The sequence below is a fragment of the Homo sapiens genome, chromosome 10, assembly GCF_000001405.40.
Source record: "Homo sapiens chromosome 10, GRCh38.p14 Primary Assembly".
NCBI classification, from domain to species: Eukaryota; Metazoa; Chordata; class Mammalia; order Primates; family Hominidae; genus Homo; species Homo sapiens.
The window spans coordinates 47,905,390-47,926,242 of NC_000010.11; the positions used below are offsets into that span (position 1 = coordinate 47,905,390).

Sequence of the window (20,853 nt, forward strand, 5' to 3'; positions counted from 1 at the left end):
ATTAAACTGACTTTTAACCACAGCACTCACAAAAATGTTCTTTTAATTTCTCATTACTCTAGTTTAGCCAGGGCAAACAGCCAATATATCTGGCTTTTAAACTTTACCGTAAGTAACTCTACGAGTGAAACCAACAAACCTCAACTAAGGTTATGACTTAACCATGAGTGTATGAGGTATTTTCAATTTTTACAAAATTAAGAATCTTCAAAGGTAGCTCAGAGAAAGGAAAATTTAAGAAGGGAAGCCAGAAGTTGTTAATGGAGGGGAAGGGAATCAACAAACGGTAAAGGTCACAGAGATGTCCACCAGAATGTACTCATTCTGTAAGCTAGGATAGAACCCAGGCTGCCATTATAAAATGGCAAACCCTTAGCTGCTGAGCTAAAACATTGGGCAGTTTCCACTGCTTTTCCCACAAAGAGTCTAGAGCAATCAATTTTGAGCTTGCAATGGCTTTTAACTACTCAAAATAATTTTTAGAGCTAACTATGATATGAGCCCCAAAATTCCTTTTCCCTAGATGGCAGAGACCAAGAGAAAGTACTGCCACGCTGTTACAAGGTCAAGCTCCCCAGGACATAAAACAAGATGGAGACCTCATTCAGTTTTCTGCTTGTTTCAGGAATCTGTAGCAAAGTTTGTAACCATAGGCAAAAGCCTCTCAATTTTGCAAGTTGCCACCCAACTAGCTGCATGGAGGACCCAAATTAATGTTTTCCATTCTGGCCAGAGAAAAATACATGTGACAAAACATAGACATTAGCCACTCTGCTTAGCACCCACTATCGAACTTGTGAGGCTCAAACTTGCCCCCAGTTGGTCCCTATCATCTTTAATACATTCAAAGTGGATTAAAGGAGTTTCAACATGTGATCTTTGGGCAAGATGGACGCCCTTTTAACAGAAAAGAAAGGGAAAGAAGAGAAAGGGAGAAAAGCATTGCCTGTGGCAGAGTGGGGAAGATGAGGAGCTCAGGGAGGCCAGAGAAAGACCCACCCATTGCAGGGATGCTGAATCAAAAGTTCAGGCGGCTGATTGTTGGTCGTGAAGGATCTTTTCGAGCAGTCCCATCAGCTCCCAAATTTTCCCCTTTGGGGAGAAAAAGTTCCCCACGTTCTATGGCCTGGTACACGCCTAATCCTATCACCCACTGGTGTTAGCAAAGAGTGCAAGGCAGATCACTCCAAAGAGAATAGTGGTTAACCCCATGGTGCCAAATCCACGTTTAACAAAGAGGGACTTTACTGAGGGGGAAGGCCTCCAACCCAATCCCATCCTTTACCAGGTAAAATGAACCCACTACTCACCCAAAGTCAGCCCATTGGTGCTGCGGTCTATTTCCTTTGGATCGGGATCGTAACTAAGCTAAAAGGCTAGCAGATTTAATTTTTTAAGTCAATGAGTCGCATAAGCTTTCGATTTGCCTTTTGTAAAGTCTTTAAATAAAAATACTGAAATCTTTTTAGAAGCTTCTGCATATCAATAGACATCCCTAGATGAGACTAACTTGGGAGCCCTCATTTTCAAATGCACTTCAGTGCAGTTTTGTTCATTTGGAACATTCCACTCTAAGTTATCTTTAGTAAGATTTCACCATTTCTATAAGACTGCTGCTTCCGGGGCCTACCACTTATGCAGGTATTAGCCAGAAGGAACTCAGTTCTTCAGAAATTAAGGATCCAGGCCGGGCGCGGTGGCTCATGCTTGTAATCCCAGCACTTTGGGAGGCGAGGTGGGCGGATCACGAGGTCAGGAGATCGAGACCATCCTGGCTAACACGGTGAAACCCCGTCTCTACTAAAAATACAAAAAAAATTAGCCGGGCGTGGTGGCGGGTGCTTGTAGTCCCAGCTACTTGGGAGGCTGAGGCAGGAGAATGGCGTGAACCCGGGAGGCGGAGCTTGCAGTGAGCCGAGATCACGCCACTGCACTTCAGCCTGGGCGACAGAGCGAGACTCCGTCTCAAATTAAAGAAAAAAAAGAAATTAAGGATTCAATTTTTACCTCAGATTTTGGCTTTGCTCTCAGGTTCCTTTGATCAACCTAGCCAATGATTTTTCTCCTACCAAAGTGCATAAGAAAAATGAAACAAGGCCGGGTGCAGTGGCTCACACTTGTTATCCCAGCTCTTTGGGAGGCCGAGGCGGGTGGATCACCTGAGGTCAGGAGTTCGAGACCAGCCTGGCCAACATGGTGAAACCCCATCTCTACTAAAAATACAAAAAATTAGCAGGGCGTGGTGGTAGACGCCTGTAATCCCAGCTCCTCAGGAGGCTGAGGCAGGAGAATCACTTGAATCTGGGAGGCAGAGAGTGCAGTGAGCTGAGATTGCGCCACTGCACTCCAGCCTGGGCAACAAGGTGAGACTGTCTCAAAAAAAAAAAAAAAAGAAACAAAGGGGTAAAACACAAAAATCCCTGTGAATTTTCAATAGCCTAATTTTACACCCCTGCAATATTACCATTTACTACATTTCTTTCTGACCCAGTCAGATGTAAGAGGCCTCTAACTGTATCCAAGCCAGTTAATTACCAGATCAAATCCATTCCTTGAACCAGCCCAGTTTCTGTCATGACTTCCAAACCCAGTTTGGAACAGAAATTTGCTCAAAGAAACTCGGAGAGCTCAAAACACAAATCAGTGGAGCTCTGACATTGGAGAGAAAACTTACCATGACTTCCAACTGCTCTGAGAGATCAACGAACACAAATAGGTCCTGCAGGTACCTGGCTTCGGTCACTCAGCACTCCTGGGAGTCGTTAGAAGCTCTACTTCAGATCTGCTCTGACACCATCTGATAAAAGAAAAACTTCAGCTGAATTAAATTTAAAGGAGCTTAAGTGAGCAGGCAATGAATGATTCGCGAATTGGGCAGCCTTCTGAGCCAGAGTAGGCTCAGAGACTCCAGCACAGCCACGTGATGGAGGAAGATTTATGGACAGAGAAAGGAAAGTGAGGTACAGAAAACGGAGGTGAGGTACAGAAATAGCTGATTGGTTACAGCTTGGTGTTCACCTTATTTGAACAGGGTTCAAACAGTTGGCTACATTTGATTGGCCAAAACTCATTGATTAGCACAAGTGTAGACTACAGTCTGTTTACACCTCCACTTGTTATAGTTCATGATGTACAGAAAAACCTTTAGGCTGAACTTAAAATATGTAAGGAGGCAGATTTAGGCTAAATTGATTTATTTTTTATTATATTTTTAAGACGGAGTCTCACTCTGTCACTCAGGCTGGAGTGCAGTGGCGTGATCTCGGCTCATCACAACCTCCATCTCCTGGGTTTAAGCGATTCTCCTGCCTCAGCCTCCCAAGTAGGTGGGACTACAGGTGTGTGCCACCATTCCTGGCTATTTTTTGTATTTTTAGTAGAGATGGGGTTTCACCATGTTGGCCAAGCTGGTTTCAAACTCCTGGCCTCAGGTAATCCACCTGCCTTAGCCTCCCAAAGTGCTGGGATTAGAGGTGTGAGCCACCGCACCCGGCCGGCTAAACTTGATTTAACAGTACCTTTTGGGAGATAATTTTTTTGTATAATGGAATAGTTACTCTAATTATAAGCTGCTATTATACCTCATTTGGATCTGGGAATTTTCTCATGTGATGTATGTACACACACACACACACACACACACGACTAATATTGCAATATTCTTTTTTGTCTATGTTTGTGTGTCCTTGTAGAACTTTCTATAGCCCAGTCTGGAAGTGTAGGGAAACTGTATCTGTTTCAGAGTGAAACTGCTCTAGGGGATGGGAAATTTTGAGTTTATTATTTCCATGAGAAAATGGAATGGGGCTTCTTTTGGGGGAAGATTTAAAATTATCTGTGGAAAAAAGTGAGTTGGACTTGGTAATGTAAGATGAGAAATTTTTCATTATTATATTCAATGAGATAGATACAAATACTGGTTTCCTTAATATTTCTGAAATTGTATCATTGACTATGATAGATGAGACTACTGTTCAAACATATTCACTCTTCCACCTCTCCATTTCACTGGAAGAGTGTAGTTACTGGTTCTATTAATGTTGGGCATGGCTCTGACTTGCTTTGGCCTCAGGGTAGGTGGGGGACAGTTCTTTGCCTCTCAACTGTGCTCAGCCATGTAGCTTGCTTTGGTCAATGGATGTTAGCAGATGTGACTCACGGAGGAATGGAAATTACCTTGCATAGCTGGGCTTGTCCTCTTGAACTGCTGCCATCTCCATGCATAACACTTCTTTGAACTCCTTCAGCCTGAGCCCCAGATGGAATATCAGTGGAGAAGTTTAAATCTCAGTGAGGAGCCAAGTTCAGTTGGACTCATAGCTTGAAACAGAGCTGCCCCATTGAGCTCGCCTAGGTCAGCTAGCCCCAGCTGACCTGCAGTCATGTCAATTGTATGTCACTAAGATTCTGTGGCTCTTTTTTACTCAGCTTTAGCTAACTAATATATCACCATATCAGGGAATTTTGGTAGGACAACATAGCTAAGCACAATTTGAGATGGGGAATAGAATAGGGTAAATTCTCTGTTCAAAGCATATGGTAATCTGGTGCCTATTTTACTTATTATCCCATTTGTGCCCTTTTTTATAACATGTCTTTGGAAGCGAAACTGTACATCCAGTGTCTCTGTAACACTGAGTCTATTGTCCATGTAACATTCAGTCTACTGAACTGCTTTAAAATATTAGTTGAATGACAGTAGACTGAATGAATCTCTGTAGTTCCAGAAGGCAGGGAGAAGGATTGGGAGAGTCGACACAAAGTGTGCAGCCAGGGCTGCGTTGGTATTTTTCCTCTGATGTGCTCCACAGAAGGGCAGCTGACCCACTGTGGGTTGATAATTTCACTGGTTCACAGAAGACAGGGAATATAGGACTTTAGGGAAATAATGTGCCTTTGTCTTTGTCTTTCTCTTATTCTCTATCAAGGGGGAAAATGCTGCTCTGGGCTGGTTGGATTCAAGCTCATGGATTGGACCATGGGATAAAGTTTTAGTGGCAGATGGCTACTTCCTTGAAATAGAGTGGAGAAAAAGGGTGGCAGCATTGGTGAGAAGGGACAGGCAGGAGGCAGTAGGGAAGTCCAGCTTTACTCTGGAGAGAAGAAGAGGTGGGGGTGGGGAGGGCAGGGCCAGCTGTTTGGGGTGGGAGGCAGGGAAGGTGTTGGCTGCCCAGTTGACATCTCTTATCTCTTTCCTGGGGCCAGAGTAGGTTATTTTACAGCCCAGCCTCTTTATGGCCTCAGCAGAGAAGCAAAGGCAAACAAAGAACAGGTGATCCCTCAGGGCCCAAGGAGACGCCTCCTACAGCAGGTGTGCCCACTTCAGCAGCCCTGCTGGCCAGAATCTCTACTTAGAAGGCTTCTCGGAAGGCCAGGCCCTTATCGGCTTCCGACTTTGAAGTCCTAGGAACCCTCCCTCACACCTCCCTTCTATGTGGCTTTGAAAATACTTTGATATTCTATCCCTATCCCTTAATTATTTGAACCCTCACCAGTTTGTAATGAGCCTGAACCCATCTTTGCTCCATTTTACATATGACAAAACTGAGGCTGGAAGCGTTGTTGCCAAGCTTCTTTGCCCTTTGTACCATGGGATTTAATTACATATATTTTATGGATTCTTTCCTTTATAAAGTTGTAATCATTCATTCTTTTTTAATAGAGAGAAATTTAGAAAAGGAAACAAAGCAAAAAATGACCTAAAATCCTATGGGTCAGATAACTCCCGTTGATATTCTTTCCTTCTTTCCCCCAGTTCTATTTCCAGAGGTTACCACTTTCAATTTTTATTTCTGTTTCATTCTATAAAGATGAAGAAAATTTTTGACACCTTTAAAAATATAATTTAAATCATCTTAAACTTATAGAAAAGTTGAAAGTGAGGATAAAGAACATTAATTTTTCTATGCCATTTGAGAGCATGATCCCGGCAATTTGCATGAACACCTTGCTACCGCCTCATCTGCAGGCTCCACTAAAGTTTCATCAGCTGTCCCAAGATACACAGGTTTCATTCTCCTGTCTCTGGTCTCCTTCAATCTGGAATGGTTCTCCCTTCTTTCCTTGACTTCCATGGCCTTATGTTTCCAGATGACAGGCCAGTTATTCTGTAGTATGTCCCTCACCTGGGTTGAGGCTGATGCTTCTTCAGGGTTGGATTCACTTGCATGCACCTTCAGCAGGAAGATCACAGAAGCTGTGCTACGTTTTCCTTGCATCCTGTCATGCGGTGAGTAATTTCACTCTAGGATTAGAGATGGTGTTCGCTATGATCATTTGATTACAGAGGTGACTGCCAGCCTTCTCCACTGTAAGGTGACTCTTCTCTTTGTAATAAACAAATATTTTGTGATGAGGCACACTGAAACCATGAATATATTCCATTCCTCATCAAACTGTCACTTTACTCCATCATTTAGTTATATTGAAATGGACTCAGATTTTTATTTTATTCAGTAGGTTATTATCCATCATCATTATTATTTACTTTGATGCTCACATGGTCGAAGATTTGGCCATCAAGGGCCCCTTCAAGCCAGGTTCTGGGCTTTTCTGGCCTGCACCCTTCATTCTTAGAGTACTTCATTACTTTCTAGCTCCCAAGATCTTTCAGGTTTATCTTGGGCTTTCCCAGCCCTTGCCCTGGAATCAGCCATTTTCCGAAGGAGACTTGGATTCTTTTAATGGAGAATGGCATTTAGAAGTCAATATATGGGTGCTAGGAGTGTTCATTGCTATTGGGGTATCACTGCTCCTAGACTCTCTCAGTGGACAGAGCAAGGATATATATGCACACACACTATTAGATCAATATTTATCTCTCTATATAGAAAACCATGAGCTCACTTCAATACTTTCAATTCTAATCAAAACCACAGGGCTTATTCTGGGTTTCCCTCCTTCCATATTCATGACTGCCTTCTCCATGAGTGAGAAAACTGGCTCCCAACTTTGCTCAGTTGGTCCCCCTGCATATACCCAATCTTCCATAGCAGAACTCTGCCCCTCCACTCATTCTGTGTGGCTCTGGCATCCACACTTGGTTGTCCCCTTCTGCCATGTGGACTTTCATTTGACAGTACTTGGACTCTAACACCCTGTGCTAGGCCACCGTGCCCCTGCCTCCCTGCATGGCCACTCTTTGTCCTATTCTGGCTCTGACATGCCATGCCAGGCTCCCCCACGCCAGATGGGTGCCATCTGGTACATATCCCGTGTGCTTAGCTTAGACTACCCGGGCTATGATGGCTACTGTCCCACCCATGCCCATGTGCTGCATGCATCTTATGAAGGCATCTGGTTTATTCTCCCTGCTCATCAGTTCAATCAGCATGTGCTACCAGTGTAGTGCACCAGCATACCATCTGTGGATCTGTGGGATGTTCAGAAGATCAAGGTCTCTGTAGACCACACTATAACAGAAAGCTGGAAAACGAACATGATCTGGGAGAAGACACTGACTTTGTACTTCTATCCTTGCCAGGTGAAAGCAAACTTCTGCTGGTTCTTACCGATACAGATGGGGAGAAAACACAAGCTGAGTCAATAGCTACATACTAAGTGCTGAGAGTGGTTAAGTTGTTCTATGTTGCATTTAGAAAAGCAGCTAAAATTGGAGTTACTGCCTGATTAAATTTACGACGACATACAGTCATTCTCCAAGATTCAGCAACTTCCTGCACAGGCTAAAGAGCTAAAGAGGTGAGCCAAGTGGGCAGAAATGTGACAGGCCTCCCTGTCCCTGCATCTTTCATGTCTTTAATCATGGCATCGATCCCTGTAATTCCCCTAGAAATACAGTAATGCAGGTTTACTATTTGCGTAGGGAAAGAAAATCCCAGGCTCCTGGGCCTGTTCAACCATTTCTTTGACCTCATCTCTCCTTGCTTGATTTTATACCAGTTGTGCTGGAGTACCTTCTAATATGGTTTGGCTCTGTGTCCCCACCCAAATCTCATCTCTAATTGTCATCTCCACATGCCGAGGGAGGTACCTGGTGGGAGGTAATCGGATTATGGGGGCAGTTTACCTCATGCTGTTCTCATGATGGTAAGTTTCCACGAGATCTGATGGTTTAAAAGTGTTTGGGAGTCCCTAGCCTCTCTCCTGCCGCCATGTAAGATGTACCTTGCTTCCCCCTCTGCCATGGTTGTAAGTTTTCTGAGGCCTCCCCAGCCATGTGGAACTGCGAGTCAATTAAAGCTGTTTTGTTTATAAATCACCCAGTCTTAGGTAGTTCTTTATAGCAGTGTGAAAATGGACTAATACACTTCCTTAATGAACTCTCTCAGAAAGGATTCAGGAAATGTAAGCTTGCAAGTTTAGAAATATCCTTATTCTACCTTTACACTTGATATTATCGCTGAGATGAGCGTTTTAGGTTCAAAATATATTTCCAGGAGTCCTAAAAATATAGCTCCATCTTTTCAGAGTCTTCCATCATCCTATGTTGTTGACAAGACTGAGAATGGTCTCTGTCTCTCCTTTCCTTTGTAGGCAACCTTTCTCTTCCTGCTCCCACCCATGGAACATTTTAGAATCTTCTTTTTTTTTTTTTTTTTTTTTTTTTTTGGTGTTTTGAAATTTTGCAGTACCTGTCTAGGTGTGGAGCAGTTCCTCGGGCTTCCTTTTAATCTGTAGCTCTGGAATACTCTTGCTATTGATGATTCTATGTGTCGACTATTTTGCTCACACCCCACCCAGATGCATTCTCTACTGTGGTTCTCTGCTCTTCCCTGTGCCAGGGGAAGCTGATGGCTCCTTTGCTGGCAGGGCTCCAGTTGGGTTTGGTCAATGGGAGGGACTGACAGGAGACTGGAAGTGGAAGGAGAGAGAGGTTGGTAGAATTCTTTTCTACTTCCCCTTGCTTCCATGCTGTCTGGAGGCGGTGGCATGCCTCCACACTACAGAAGCTCCCACTGGGGGCCCTTCCTCTGCAGTCCTCTGGCTGTGGTAATGTGGTTTTCTCCTTTTGTTCTTTTAACTGTAGGGTGGTGATTGCTTCTGTCTTCTGCCAGTCTCTGGGTGCCTCACCATTTCTTGTTTCTTTCCTTTAATGCTTCCCACACCTCTGTAAGTTACCTTTTTATTAAAATCCCTTTGTTTGACAATCTGGGGGTGAATTATGTGTCCTGTGCAGACTATGACTGATATGCTGCCTTTCATTGTCTTGATTTTTCCTTCCTGGAAATTTTAGTAATTGGATGATGGGTCATTAGTGTTAATCATCCATGTCTCTTATTTTAGCTCTGAAGTTTTCCATCTTTCTGTGTTTTTGCTCTACATTATGGGATATTTCCTAAGCTGGTTCTCCCATCCCTTCTAATGATGTGTTTTCAAATTTCAGTAGTCATGCTTAGTTTTCAAGGATTCTTTCTTGCTTTCTTAGTCTGTCTTATTTCATGGCAATCTGCTCTTGTTATATGGATTCAGTAATTTCTCTAATTTAGGCATTAAAGGAAGTTTTGGTCTCTTAAAGTTATTTTCTATTCCCTAAGTTATTTCAGCTTCTTTTGGGGTCAGTTATTTTGTTTATTCATCTTGACCTATCTCCTTTGTGCTGTTGATTTCCTAAATGTGTGAGGATCTTTGGTTCTCTGTTATAAGTACTGGAAAATAAACTGGTTTCCCCGGATAGCTGATGTGGCTTCCCTCTGCTATAGCCTTCCATGAAAAAAGTAGGACAGCTTCCGGGAGCTAGCTATATGTGAGTGGACCATGCTTGGCAGCTGCCCTTCAGAATGCACAGGTTGCGGGCAGGGATGGCCAAGGACATTTCTCAGGGAGCTGTGTGTGTGGGATGGGTCTCTGAGAATGGAGAGCTTGATGAGTTCAGGCCGTGGAAGCAACATCTACACAAGCCTGGATCTGAGAAACTCAACCATACTCCCTGAAAATGGAGAGTTTACATGCAGAATGAGTCTGGGGGAGGCAGCACTAGAAGGCCTGAAAGAGGAAGAGAGTCAGACTGATTTCAGAGGGACCCATCCTAGAGGGACCACTGCCATGACTCCATGGGGACATTTCCAAGGGGAGCCACAGGAGGTTTCACTGGAGAGTTGTGTATGTCTGTCCAGTGTCTAGGAGGTGCTCACCATGGCTGAGCTTGCAGGGCCTCTTAGGACTGTCCAGGTGAGATGTGTGGGTCGTGATGAGGGTTTGGAGAGGTTTCCAGCTAGAATTGGTCGGGACAGCCCATTAGCTCTGGGGCAGAGGCTCAGGGAGGTGGGCAAGCATGCAGGACACAGGAATGCTTATAGCCACAGCTCTGCAGGGTGTTTCTTGCCCATAACTGTGTGGAGAGCCATTCTCATCTCAACTCATTTCTTGCCACAACATCTCCCGAGGCAAACTTTGTTATTAGCTCCGCTTTGCAGATGAGAATCTGGGGCAATGCGAGACGGCTTCTGTGCCCGGCTTGTGACCAGTCACCACACTGACTCTCAATGTGGTGTAAGCAACTGTGAATGGGCCTGATTCCAAATCCCAGCAAATTTACAGTAAGGAGGGTGCCTGGGGTCTATCCATCCCCTGACTAGCTGATCTTCAGCTTCCTCATAGGACCAGGGGGAATACTGAGCATGCAGTGGACTGAGGTTCAGAGAGGTAATGTGGAGCGCTGCACACACCTGAGGGAGTTGTGCGCCTGTCTGACTTCCGGGTGATTCATGAGGAACATTCCTGATGGGGTGGGAAGGGAACCTGTCACTAAGCTATTTAGGAGAAGCAGTCTCCAGCAGGTCACACCAGCCAGCCACTTTTATGGCAGAAGGAAAATCCTACCTAGCCCCTTCCCCAGAGATGGCAGAATGCAGCCTGGCTGACTGGCAGAGCCTCTCAGGCTGTGCTCCGGACCCTGGACTCCAGCAAGGGGGAAGAACAGCAGCTCCCAGTTCTTTCTTACAGACTGCTTTCTTGAGGAACTTCAAGTGCTCTGGCTATGATTGGTGCAGGGCTCTGCTGCCTCCAGAGGGTGCTGTCTCCTTTCCCTAGCAGAGGCAAAGGGTCTGGCAGCCAACTCTGGGAGTATTGGTTTAACCTGAAATGTCTGCTAGGAAGAGCTACCTACCCCTCTCCTGGGCATTATGGTCCTGAAGGAAGAGCTTGGACTTTGGATTGAAAGTCCAGCCCTACCATCTACAAGTTGGCTGGCTGAGACAAGACACTCTACTTCTTTGAGGCTCAGTTTTCTCGCCTGTGAGATGGGATGATCATACCACACCAGTTAGGCATGAGGATGGACTAAGGGCAGGTTCACATGCTTCTGCCTGGCAAGGGAGCTGTTTGCTGCTTTTACCACCATTTCAGCTCTTCTGCTGTTCTCTGACCCACAAGAGCTAGGGTTCAGGCTGCGTGCCTTGCGCAGTAGTTCTCAAATGTGTCTATGTGGAAGCTTGCCTCCAAGGGCTTACCAGCAAATCCAGACCCCACACAGCTGCCCTGCAAGAAGGAGGTGACAGTGGCTGCGTTCTTGCCTGCACAGAGGACGGGTGTCCATAGAGCTCCCAGCTGGAGTTGAGCAGTTTCTGGTCAAGCAATGTTCTCTGATTTTACATGTCTGGAAGCTACCGTTACAATCAGGTCTTCTTAAATGTCCTCCCTCCCTCCGTCTTCCTTTCTTCCTTTCTTTCTTTGTCAGATGCTGTGTGTGGACTTGTGCTGGGATCTGGAGGCGGAGACAAGAGCTGTGACCTAGACATAGGGGAGTGGGGAGACAAAGCTGCTCAGGCAGACAACCAACTAGGCTGCTACATCTGCCTCTGCAGCAGAGCATGGGAGGGTGGTAGGAATTTGTCATGGCAGCAGGGACATCGGAGCTGGGGTGCAACGGAGGAGCAGCCGCTTTCCAGGTAGTCAAGACAGGAAGGAGCATGGTCCAGAAAGAAGAGATGACAGGTGCCAGTCTACAGCGATGGTGAGCAGAGGCCTGGGGGCTTGGCAGGTGGGTTCGCATCCTGGATCTGGCTGTTTCTTAGCTGAGTGACTTTGGGCAAGTTGCTCAACCACTGAGTGTCACTTTGCTTCATCAGCACGATGGGAATAAAAATGCCCACCTCTCAGAGCTGTTGTGATGATTAACTAAGGTAGTGTCTGCAGAGTCTCTGCACTACAAACGGCAGCTGCCATTCTAGAGGGACCACTGCCATGACTTCATGGGGACATTTCCATGGGGAGCCACAGGAGGTTCACTGGACAGGTGTGTATGTCCAGTGTTTAGGAGGTGCTCTTGAAGCAGATCTGTTACTCTCAGGAGGTTCTCTAAGCGCATATGTGACTTTGCCATGTGGGGATGGGGGGCAGGGAATTATAAGCTAGTGTATTCAAAACAGGAGCAGCCCTTGTAAGCAAAGCTGTTCCATTATAGCCAAGTCATGTGCATCTCAGCTCCAAAGGAGAAAGTGACCATTCTCATTGAATTCTCATCGCCACAACCTTGGGACTGCCTGAGATAAGACACTCCACTTCCAGGGCCCACCCTGAGTTTTCACTCACACCCTGGATGCCCATCTCCTTCCCTCACCCTGGCTGACATTCTCAGCCACACTGCCCTCCCCTGGTCTCCAGGGGCTGAATGCTCCCAGCCTCAGGGCTTTTGCCGTGGCTGTGCCATCCATCTGGCCTATCGAACCCATTTGCTCACAGCATCTCACCCCCTGTAATAATTTATTTCCCTCTTTCCTTGTACCCTGTCTGTCTTCTCCCCCAGGGCTGAGAGCTCCAGAAGGAACCAAGGACAGGGAGCCTGTCTTGTCCAGCTCTGGTGCCCAGCAGGAGAGCCAGGCTCATAGGAGGTCTGCAAGTAATGTTTCTGGACGAACTTATGAAAGGCAGGTCTTTTTATACCCATTTCATGGATGAGGAAACTGAGGCAGAGAGAGAGAGAGACAGGCAGACGCACACACCCCTAGACAGAGAGAAACACTCCTGGAGAAAGAGAAAGGGAGGGAGAGAGGGAGGGGGAGGGAGGGAGAGAGAGAGAGAGAGAGAGAGAGAGAGAAAGAAAGAAAGAAAGAAAGAAAGAAAGAAAGAAAGAAAGAAAGAAAGAGAGAGAGAAAGACAGCGCAGCTCCAGCCTGCCTGTATCCAGGGTTGAGGTGGGCGTGAGAGACACACGCAGGCAGGGCTGCAGTTCCGGGCAGGCCTTGGGGGCTCAAGATGCGGCTCCCCAGGGCGAGTGCTGGGGTCCCGGGGCAGGCGGGCGGCTGGAGCCCTCTCGTGGGCGGGCGCAAGGGGCAGGCTGGGCGGGCGCAGGCGGGAGCGTAGCAGCCGCTCCACTCTGCACGCAGGCAGCATCGGGGCAGCAGGAGCAGGTGAAGCAGGCGCGGCTCTGCCCCGCGCCTGGTGCCCCCTGGGCACAGGAGTGCGGCCGGGGGCGGGGCCGAGTGGGCCCCGGTACGAACCCTCCGGGAAGCCGGGCGCGCTGCCTGCCCTTGGCCCGGGGCGCAGAGCGTCACACTGGATCTGGGGAGCATCCTACCCCCACTGTGGACCTCAGTCTCCTCACCTGAGACATGGGCGGCCCCATCCGCACCCTGTAAGCCGCAAGCCAAGGAGGTAAGGGGTGCATCTGAGGTGTCTGGGCGCTATGGGCATTAGGATATAGTAGCTTTTGCTGAGATTTCAGGAGACAAAGCAAAGGGCCTTCCCTATTCTAACCCCACTGGGAGATTAGCATTGTGTGTATGATTCATTAATTTTCCTCTGATTGACTGGGAAGGCAGGCTGCAGGGGGTCCCTGTTGGGGCTTGCAGCTGGTTCTAGTTTTTGTATCTGGAGAGCTGCCTGGGGACAAAATGCAGAGACACCATTTTATTGACCTTGCGTAATAATCTACCCTCCCCCTCATACACTCGCCACCCCCTTGGGTGTGCCTGAGGGACTTGAGGTCCCCTGGTCCTCACTGGTCAGTGTACCCCAAGCCCAGCAGCCCCAGGCAGATGCCCAACACCACCTTTTCAGTGCTCCTCCTCCTCCTGTCTTGGCCCTCTCTGCCAATCCATTTTCTATATCCAAGTGATCTTACTGGAATGGACCTGACCTTGCTGGTCTGGCCCACCACTCCAGCTTCATCATCTGCCACCCTGGAACCTCTTATTCTGCTTACTTTTCCCAGCAGGCTCTGCTCCTTCCTGCCTCTGTGCCTTTGCACATGCTGTTCCTTGCACTTCGAGTTCCCTCCTCTCCCTGTCCCTTTGGCTGGTTGACTCCTCTTCAGCCTTTGAGCCCTGTACCATTGCCACCTCTTCTCTCACCTCCCTGCTCCCTGCTCCTTCTCTGATCTCTCAACTCACAGGCCTCTCTTTCATATTGGTGTTGGCAATGGCAATGAGTTCCATCTGCATTCGTGCTGGTCAGCCCCTCTGCTCTGGGAGGGCCATGACTGTATAAGTCATCTTTGCAGCCCTTGTTTCTAGCCCAGGGCTTGACACACACTTATTGAGTGGGTGAATGAAGCAGTGAGCATTTTCTGGAGCCCTCCCAGCCCAGTCCTTCCACTCTGATCCTGCTTTAGGTGGTTGGTTTGGGATGAATGGTGTTTCTCCACACCACTGGCCAAGCCTTGCTGATGGTCACCCAGAGCCTTGGGTTCTGGCCCATTTGCTGCTTCTGAGTGCAGTGCCTCTGCCACAGGTTCATGCAGCTGCGACTGTTCTTTATCTTATATTGGGCCCTGTGTTTGGCTCTGGAATAGTTTATTTTGCCATGTTCAGCCCCAAATGGCCCTTTTTGCCCGAAGACCATAGTGCTGGAGAAATCTTCCTGCCTTCGAGATCTGGTTCCTAAATAACCAGACTGTAAACTATCAGGTGAATTCACAGCTTGATCTTTTAAATGACCAAATGAGACTCTTTTTTTTTTTTTTTTTGAGACAGAGTCTCGCTCTGTTGCCCAGGCTGGAGTGCAGTGGTGCACTCTCTGCTGACTGCAACCTCCGCCTCCCAGGTTCAAGTGATTCTCCTGCTTCACCCTCCCATGTAGCTGGGACTACAGGCATGCACCACCACACTTGGCTAATTTTTGTATTTTCAGCAGAGACGGGGTTTCACCATGTTGGCCAGGCAGGTGTTGAAGTCCTGACCTTAGAAACTCATCTTTATAAGTAGATCAGATGCACAGCAAGTGACATTCATGACAGCCGACAAATAGATTTTACTGAGCTCTGGTTGATTTTGGCCTTGTGCTCTGCAAAAACTGCCTTAACATAGCAATTGATCATGTAAAAAATACATATGGCCATGATATGAGACTTAAAGAATATCTCGAATAGGGTTTTCTGCTACAGTGTTTTACAAGATGGGGTCCAAGGGCCATGTGCATCAGAATCACATAGTCTACTTGTTAAATACAGATTCCTGGCCCCCATCCTGGATTCACTTAACTACATCTCCTGGTGGAAGGGCCCTGGGATGTGCACTTTCAACATGCTTCTAGAATGATTCTGATGTTTACTGAAGGTTGAGAACTGCAACCCTGTGGGATTAATAATGACTAGAGAATCTGAGAGGTGAGTCACAATGATGTATGTAGTGGTATGGTGCTTCCCATGCAAAACATCCATCATTGGCACTAACACGGGGGAACTCTGGAGTCTAAATTCCAACTCAGTCTTGGCAGGGGGTCCGTTGTGCTGAGGAGGTCCTCGGAGAAGGGACAGCCTGTACCAGGGCATAGAGATGTGGAAGAGTCTGGTGTGCTTGTGAGCTGCACACTGCATCAAGTGACTTGAACATAGTCATGGAGTAGGTTCTGTGGAGGGCACTGGGCACCTGTGACTTTGGCCAGGTATGTCTGTGCACATGGTGGGTAGTAGGAAGAAGCTGGTGTGCTGATGAGCCAGGCTTTGCATACTGGGCAGTCTTCAGTTTTGCCAGGTATCACCTAAAAAACAAGGCTACCAGGGCAGGGAGGGGCTGAGACCAGGAGGGTGCACTGATTGTGGATCCCCGAGGCTTTAGCTCTATCTTGAAGGGAATGGGGTGCCGTGGAAGGACACAAGCAATCCTGTGCAGAGTGGCATTTATTGCTGTCTCCATTCAGATAAAATGTGACAAGGGGCATTCTACCCATGTTCCCTGAACAATTCCGTCACTAAAGTCTGCATACAGCACTCCAACTTCTTTATCATCAGAACAGCCTCATCCTGAGGCCGGAGGGAATTAGTAGAACAAGTTCTGGCATTAGATGACCTGAGTTTGTAACTGGGCCCTGTTACTAATTAGCTGTGTGACTATGGGCAAGTTGCTTTCCATCTCAGGGTCTTAGATTCCTCATCTATGAAACGGATTGATAATATCTACCTCTAGGAATAAACTAGCTAATAGACGAAAGTGCTGAGCACAGTACCCAGCATGCAACAAGTGCTTCTAACAAGGTAGCAATCATTGGATGCCAATGTCTCACCATGAGCCTTAGGTAATAGCCCCTCCAGATACCAGCCTTGGGTTGGAAGCAGCTGAGAGCCTTTCTACCCGGCCCTGCTCCTCTCTGGATTCTACCCTGGGCATGATCCCTGAGTATTGTTTGTCTGTTTGCCTTGTAGGCGTCATCCCTCAAGTGTATCACTTAGTTCAAGAGTCCTGGAATCTTTTCACATCCACTATGAACACCTCTCACCTCCTGGCCTTGCTGCTCCCAAAATCTCCACAAGGTGAAAACAGAAGCAAACCCCTGGGCACCCCATACAACTTCTCTGAACATTGCCAGGATTCCGTGGACGTGATGGTCTTCATTGTCACTTCCTACAGCATTGAGACTGTCGTGGGGGTCCTGGGTAACCTCTGCCTGATGTGTGTAACTGTGAGGCAGAAGGAGAAAGCCAACGTGACCAACCTGCTTATCGCCAACCTGGCCTTCTCTGACTTCCTCATGTGCCTCCTCTGCCAGCCGCTGACCGCCGTCTACACCATCATGGACTACTGGATCTTTGGAGAGACCCTCTGCAAGATGTCGGCCTTCATCCAGTGCATGTCGGTGACGGTCTCCATCCTCTCGCTCGTCCTCGTGGCCCTGGAGAGGCATCAGCTCATCATCAACCCAACAGGCTGGAAGCCCAGCATCTCACAGGCCTACCTGGGGATTGTGCTCATCTGGGTCATTGCCTGTGTCCTCTCCCTGCCCTTCCTGGCCAACAGCATCCTGGAGAATGTCTTCCACAAGAACCACTCCAAGGCTCTGGAGTTCCTGGCGGATAAGGTGGTCTGTACCGAGTCCTGGCCACTGGCTCACCACCGCACCATCTACACCACCTTCCTGCTCCTCTTCCAGTACTGCCTCCCACTGGGCTTCATCTTGGTCTGTTATGCACGCATCTACCGGCGCCTGCAGAGGCAGGGGCGCGTGTTTCACAAGGGCACCTACAGCTTGCGAGCTGGGCACATGAAGCAGGTCAATGTGGTGCTGGTGGTGATGGTGGTGGCCTTTGCCGTGCTCTGGCTGCCTCTGCATGTGTTCAACAGCCTGGAAGACTGGCACCATGAGGCCATCCCCATCTGCCATGGGAACCTCATCTTCTTAGTGTGCCACTTGCTTGCCATGGCCTCCACCTGTGTCAACCCATTCATCTATGGCTTTCTCAACACCAACTTCAAGAAGGAGATCAAGGCCCTGGTGCTGACTTGCCAGCAGAGCGCCCCCCTGGAGGAGTCAGAGCATCTGCCCCTGTCCACAGTACATACGGAAGTCTCCAAAGGGTCCCTGAGGCTAAGTGGCAGGTCCAATCCCATTTAACCAGGTCTAGGTCTTCTCCCTGCCATGTCCCTTGCCAGGCTCTTCCACTTAGCTAAGTGGGCACACTGCAAGCTGGGGTGGCACCCCAGCATTCCTGGCTTTCTGGGGTCCAGATAGGCTGGCAAGAGCTGTTTTTGCATCCATTTGCATCGTGAAGACTGGCATTTTGATACTTCAGCTGTTTGTTCCTGGGAGAATTCTGAGCACAGATTCCAGAGGTCACAGTAAGCCTTGCAGCTTGAGCTGAAAGATGCCAGAGCCGGAGATGTCTGCTGGCAGCAGGCAGGGTTCATTCTGGTGACACAGCAACAGATGCCTGGCCTGGGAACCCAGGGATTTCACCTCCACCAGTGAGACCACGGGGCCACTGTGGGGTGAGGGAAGGAGCGCTTGGAGTCAGAGCTCTAGACCTTGGTCAACTCTTCACCTCTGTGAGAGATGGTGTGTGGAGGTGCTTCAGAAGTAAAGAATTCTGTGGATGCAAAGCAGTGGGATTACTGTTAGATCATTAGCGCATCCAGCTGAAGACAATAGATGCAGTAGTCTTGGCTTACAGCCCTCTGAAGCAGGAATTCCAGGACTCATTTCCTACTCCATCCCTTTTCTCTATCACTGTGTCTTCCACCTTACATGGAAATCAGCCTGCAAGTTCCTCTCCTCGATGAGATGGCAAGCGCCTTGCAGGTGAAATCCATACCATCATGGGGCTTGTGTCTTACATGCCATGGGCAGGCCCTGGCACAAGGAGAGAGCTCCAGGGAAGTTTTCCATGGTGGGTTGATGGTAAAGGTGCCACTCACTGCTGAATGTTTGGTGCTGGACAGGAGTCCAGCATGGGAAGGGGGCCAGGGCTCAGGCTCCTGCAGCCATAGTCTCCTGCCTGCCCTTCCTTGCCTCCCAGGACCTCATTTGATACAGTAGCTGGACCGAGACTCTGTGGCTCTCCCCACTGTTGACCCACTACAGAGGCCTCCAGAACTCAAGGCTATGGCTGCAGCCTCCTTCACTCTGTGCTCTGACCACTGAGCTGACTTGCCCCAGATAATGTGCCACGTATCTTTCAAAGCTTCCTCAGGGTATTGGGCATCCCAGTGGCCTTAAGTAGGATCAGGGGCAGGGAGTCCTGGGAGTCTAACTTCATGGGGCACTGGCTGAAAAAAGCAGGGGTCCCCTTCCTCCAGCCATCCAGGGAAAAAGGAGAAAGGGCTCCAATGAGTGTGAATATCTTACCTTGGGGGTTATGGCCTAGTCCTCTGGATGCTGAACCAGGCCCAAGGCTTCATCTATGTGTGGACCAGACAGCCTGTCCTTGCAGGGAAAGAAATGTCAAGACTGCTCCTGGGCTGCATTGGATGGGATGTCTCCGCATGGTTCTGTTGGCTCAGACTGACCCTCCAGCAGAGTGGACAGTGGCTGGCCTACTATAGCCTCCCAGGGCAGGGTGTTCATGTGCTGGAGCCCTGGAAGAGCCTCATCATAAGCCAGCATAGGTTCTGCAAAGGGGGTCTGGCATAGGGCTCTCACCCCTGACCAAGAACCGGTGGAACTGACGCCCAAGACAAGTGCTCTTTGAGCCAGCAGCTCCCTTCCTGGAGCTGTTTGTCTTATCGCTTCTTTTGGTCACATCTCCCATTCAGTTCCTTTGTTCATTTTTGTGTTGGATTTTGGGCAGATTTCTTGAGCCACTCTCTTGGACACAGCTTGTGCTTGTCCTGTGGTGCCATCTGCTGCTGGCTGCTCCAGGTGACCACCTGCCAGCGAAGCCCAGGCTCCGGGACCCATCTATTTTGTGAAAAGCCCACATGCACAAAGCAACCCCCAAATGCCAAAGGAGCCAAGAGACCAAAGAAGGAAGCAGACAAATCCAGTTTGTTGGTATTGAGTGATTTATTGAGGGAACTTTTAAGCAGGCGGGTGGTCTCGGGTGGCCACAAGACAGGCAGATCTCTGCACTGTTACTCTCGGACCCAAGGCTTATATACCAAGGGAAAAGGATATACATGCTCCAGCAAGACAGTGAAAGGTAGTGTGCCAGAGCAGGCAAGAACGCCATGTGCATCATAGCCCAGAATTTGCATGATAACATCAAGCTTGCTTTGATCTAAAAGCAGGAGTACATATTCTTACACTCGGGACAGTAAATAAAGTAGGAGTCAGGAGGCATTCATGGGACTGGGGCTAATCAGAAGTCAACATGGGCAAATTAGCATCCAAGATGGAGTCACTTTTGTCTTCCCATCACCCCAGAAAGATGTCATTGTTCAAGCTTCCCAAGGAATTGGGGGCCTCAGGCCCCCCTGGATCCCACGCAAGTGCCTGGAGTTGCTTCTCATTATTAGTCTCGATGGTGCCAAGATGCTGGGGACAAAGATGATTTCAGGTGCAGACATGCTTGAGGACGGAGGGCCAGGCTAGGCCTCTGGGGAAAGTGTTTGGTGCTAAGAATTGGGGTAGTGGGTAGAAGCCTCGTTGAGTGTGTTCTGTGCCCCAGCATCACCTGGAGTTTGTAGATATTCAGTCCTTGTTGCCAGCCCAGCTCGATTGAATCCAAATCCATGTTTTATCAGGATCCCAGGTTAATTGTGTGCACATTAAAGTTTGAGAAGCTCTGCTCTAAGAAACAGGTTGCCCTGGAGCCTAGAGACACTGGGTAAGCACCTGTAGACACCCATCCTAGTTCTGGGAACGTCTCTAAAATTGTTATTGCTGAAAAGGTGCATTCAGTTTTGGTTGTCTGTCTCATCTCTGGCTGCATGTGGTCATATTTTTTGTGAGGCTTTTTCATTCTTTTGATAAATATTTGCCATGTGCATAGTTTGCATAGATATGTTCTTAGTGAACATGGCTTTTTGTATTCTGCTCTATTTCACTTAAAACTGTATCATCAACAGTTTTTCATCTTGCTGGATATCTTTTTTTTTTTTTTTTTTTTGAGAAGGAGTTTCACTCATGCTGCCCAGGCTGGAGTGCAATGGCACGATCTTGGCTCACTGCAGCTTCTGCCTCCTGGATTCAAGCAATTCTCCTGCCTCAGCCTCCTGTGTAACTGGGATTACAGGTGCTTGCCACCACACCCAGCTATTTTTTTTTTTTTTTTGTATTTTTAGTAGAGATGGGGTTTCACTAT

At 48.1% G+C, this 20,853-nt stretch overlaps 2 protein-coding genes across 6 annotated transcripts in view, besides 1 other annotated feature; one reads left to right on the plus strand and one right to left on the minus strand.

The window, feature by feature from the left end:
• Positions 1 to 20,853, minus strand: part of ANXA8 (annexin A8) — a 523,804-nt gene that overhangs the window by 437,397 nt on the left and 65,554 nt on the right. The gene's annotated exons all lie outside the window — the stretch shown is intronic.
• NPY4R2 (neuropeptide Y receptor Y4-2) lies at positions 8,854 to 18,135 on the plus strand. Of its 5 annotated transcripts, none has more exons than XM_017015464.2 (3): positions 8,854 to 8,952; positions 11,639 to 11,914; positions 16,540 to 18,135. In XM_017015464.2, exon 3 carries the CDS (start codon positions 16,599 to 16,601, stop codon positions 17,724 to 17,726), a length of 1,128 nt encoding a protein of 375 aa, XP_016870953.1. In that variant the 5' UTR covers positions 8,854 to 8,952; positions 11,639 to 11,914; positions 16,540 to 16,598; the 3' UTR covers positions 17,727 to 18,135. The 5 variants fall into 5 exon arrangements, with proteins under 5 accessions (XP_016870953.1, XP_011537417.1, NP_001265724.1 ...); NM_001395253.1 differs by lacking the exons at positions 8,854 to 8,952; positions 11,639 to 11,914 and adding exons at positions 13,273 to 13,553; positions 15,349 to 15,504; XM_011539115.3 differs by lacking the exon at positions 11,639 to 11,914.
• Positions 18,874 to 19,373: an enhancer, noted in NCBI's record as "H3K27ac hESC enhancer chr10:47089387-47089886 (GRCh37/hg19 assembly coordinates)". NCBI's record gives its function as "activates a minimal SCP1, AML or CMV promoter by ChIP-STARR-seq in naive and primed H9 embryonic stem cells {active_cell/tissue: H9 hESC(naive and primed)}" and the evidence as "EXISTENCE:reporter gene assay evidence [ECO:0000049][PMID:30033119]".

What these genes read in the sequence shown, in the direction of transcription:
- NPY4R2 (XM_017015464.2), top strand. Translation starts at nt 16,599, where the DNA reads ATGAACACCTCTCACCTCCTGGCCTTGCTGCTCCCAAAATCTCCACAA.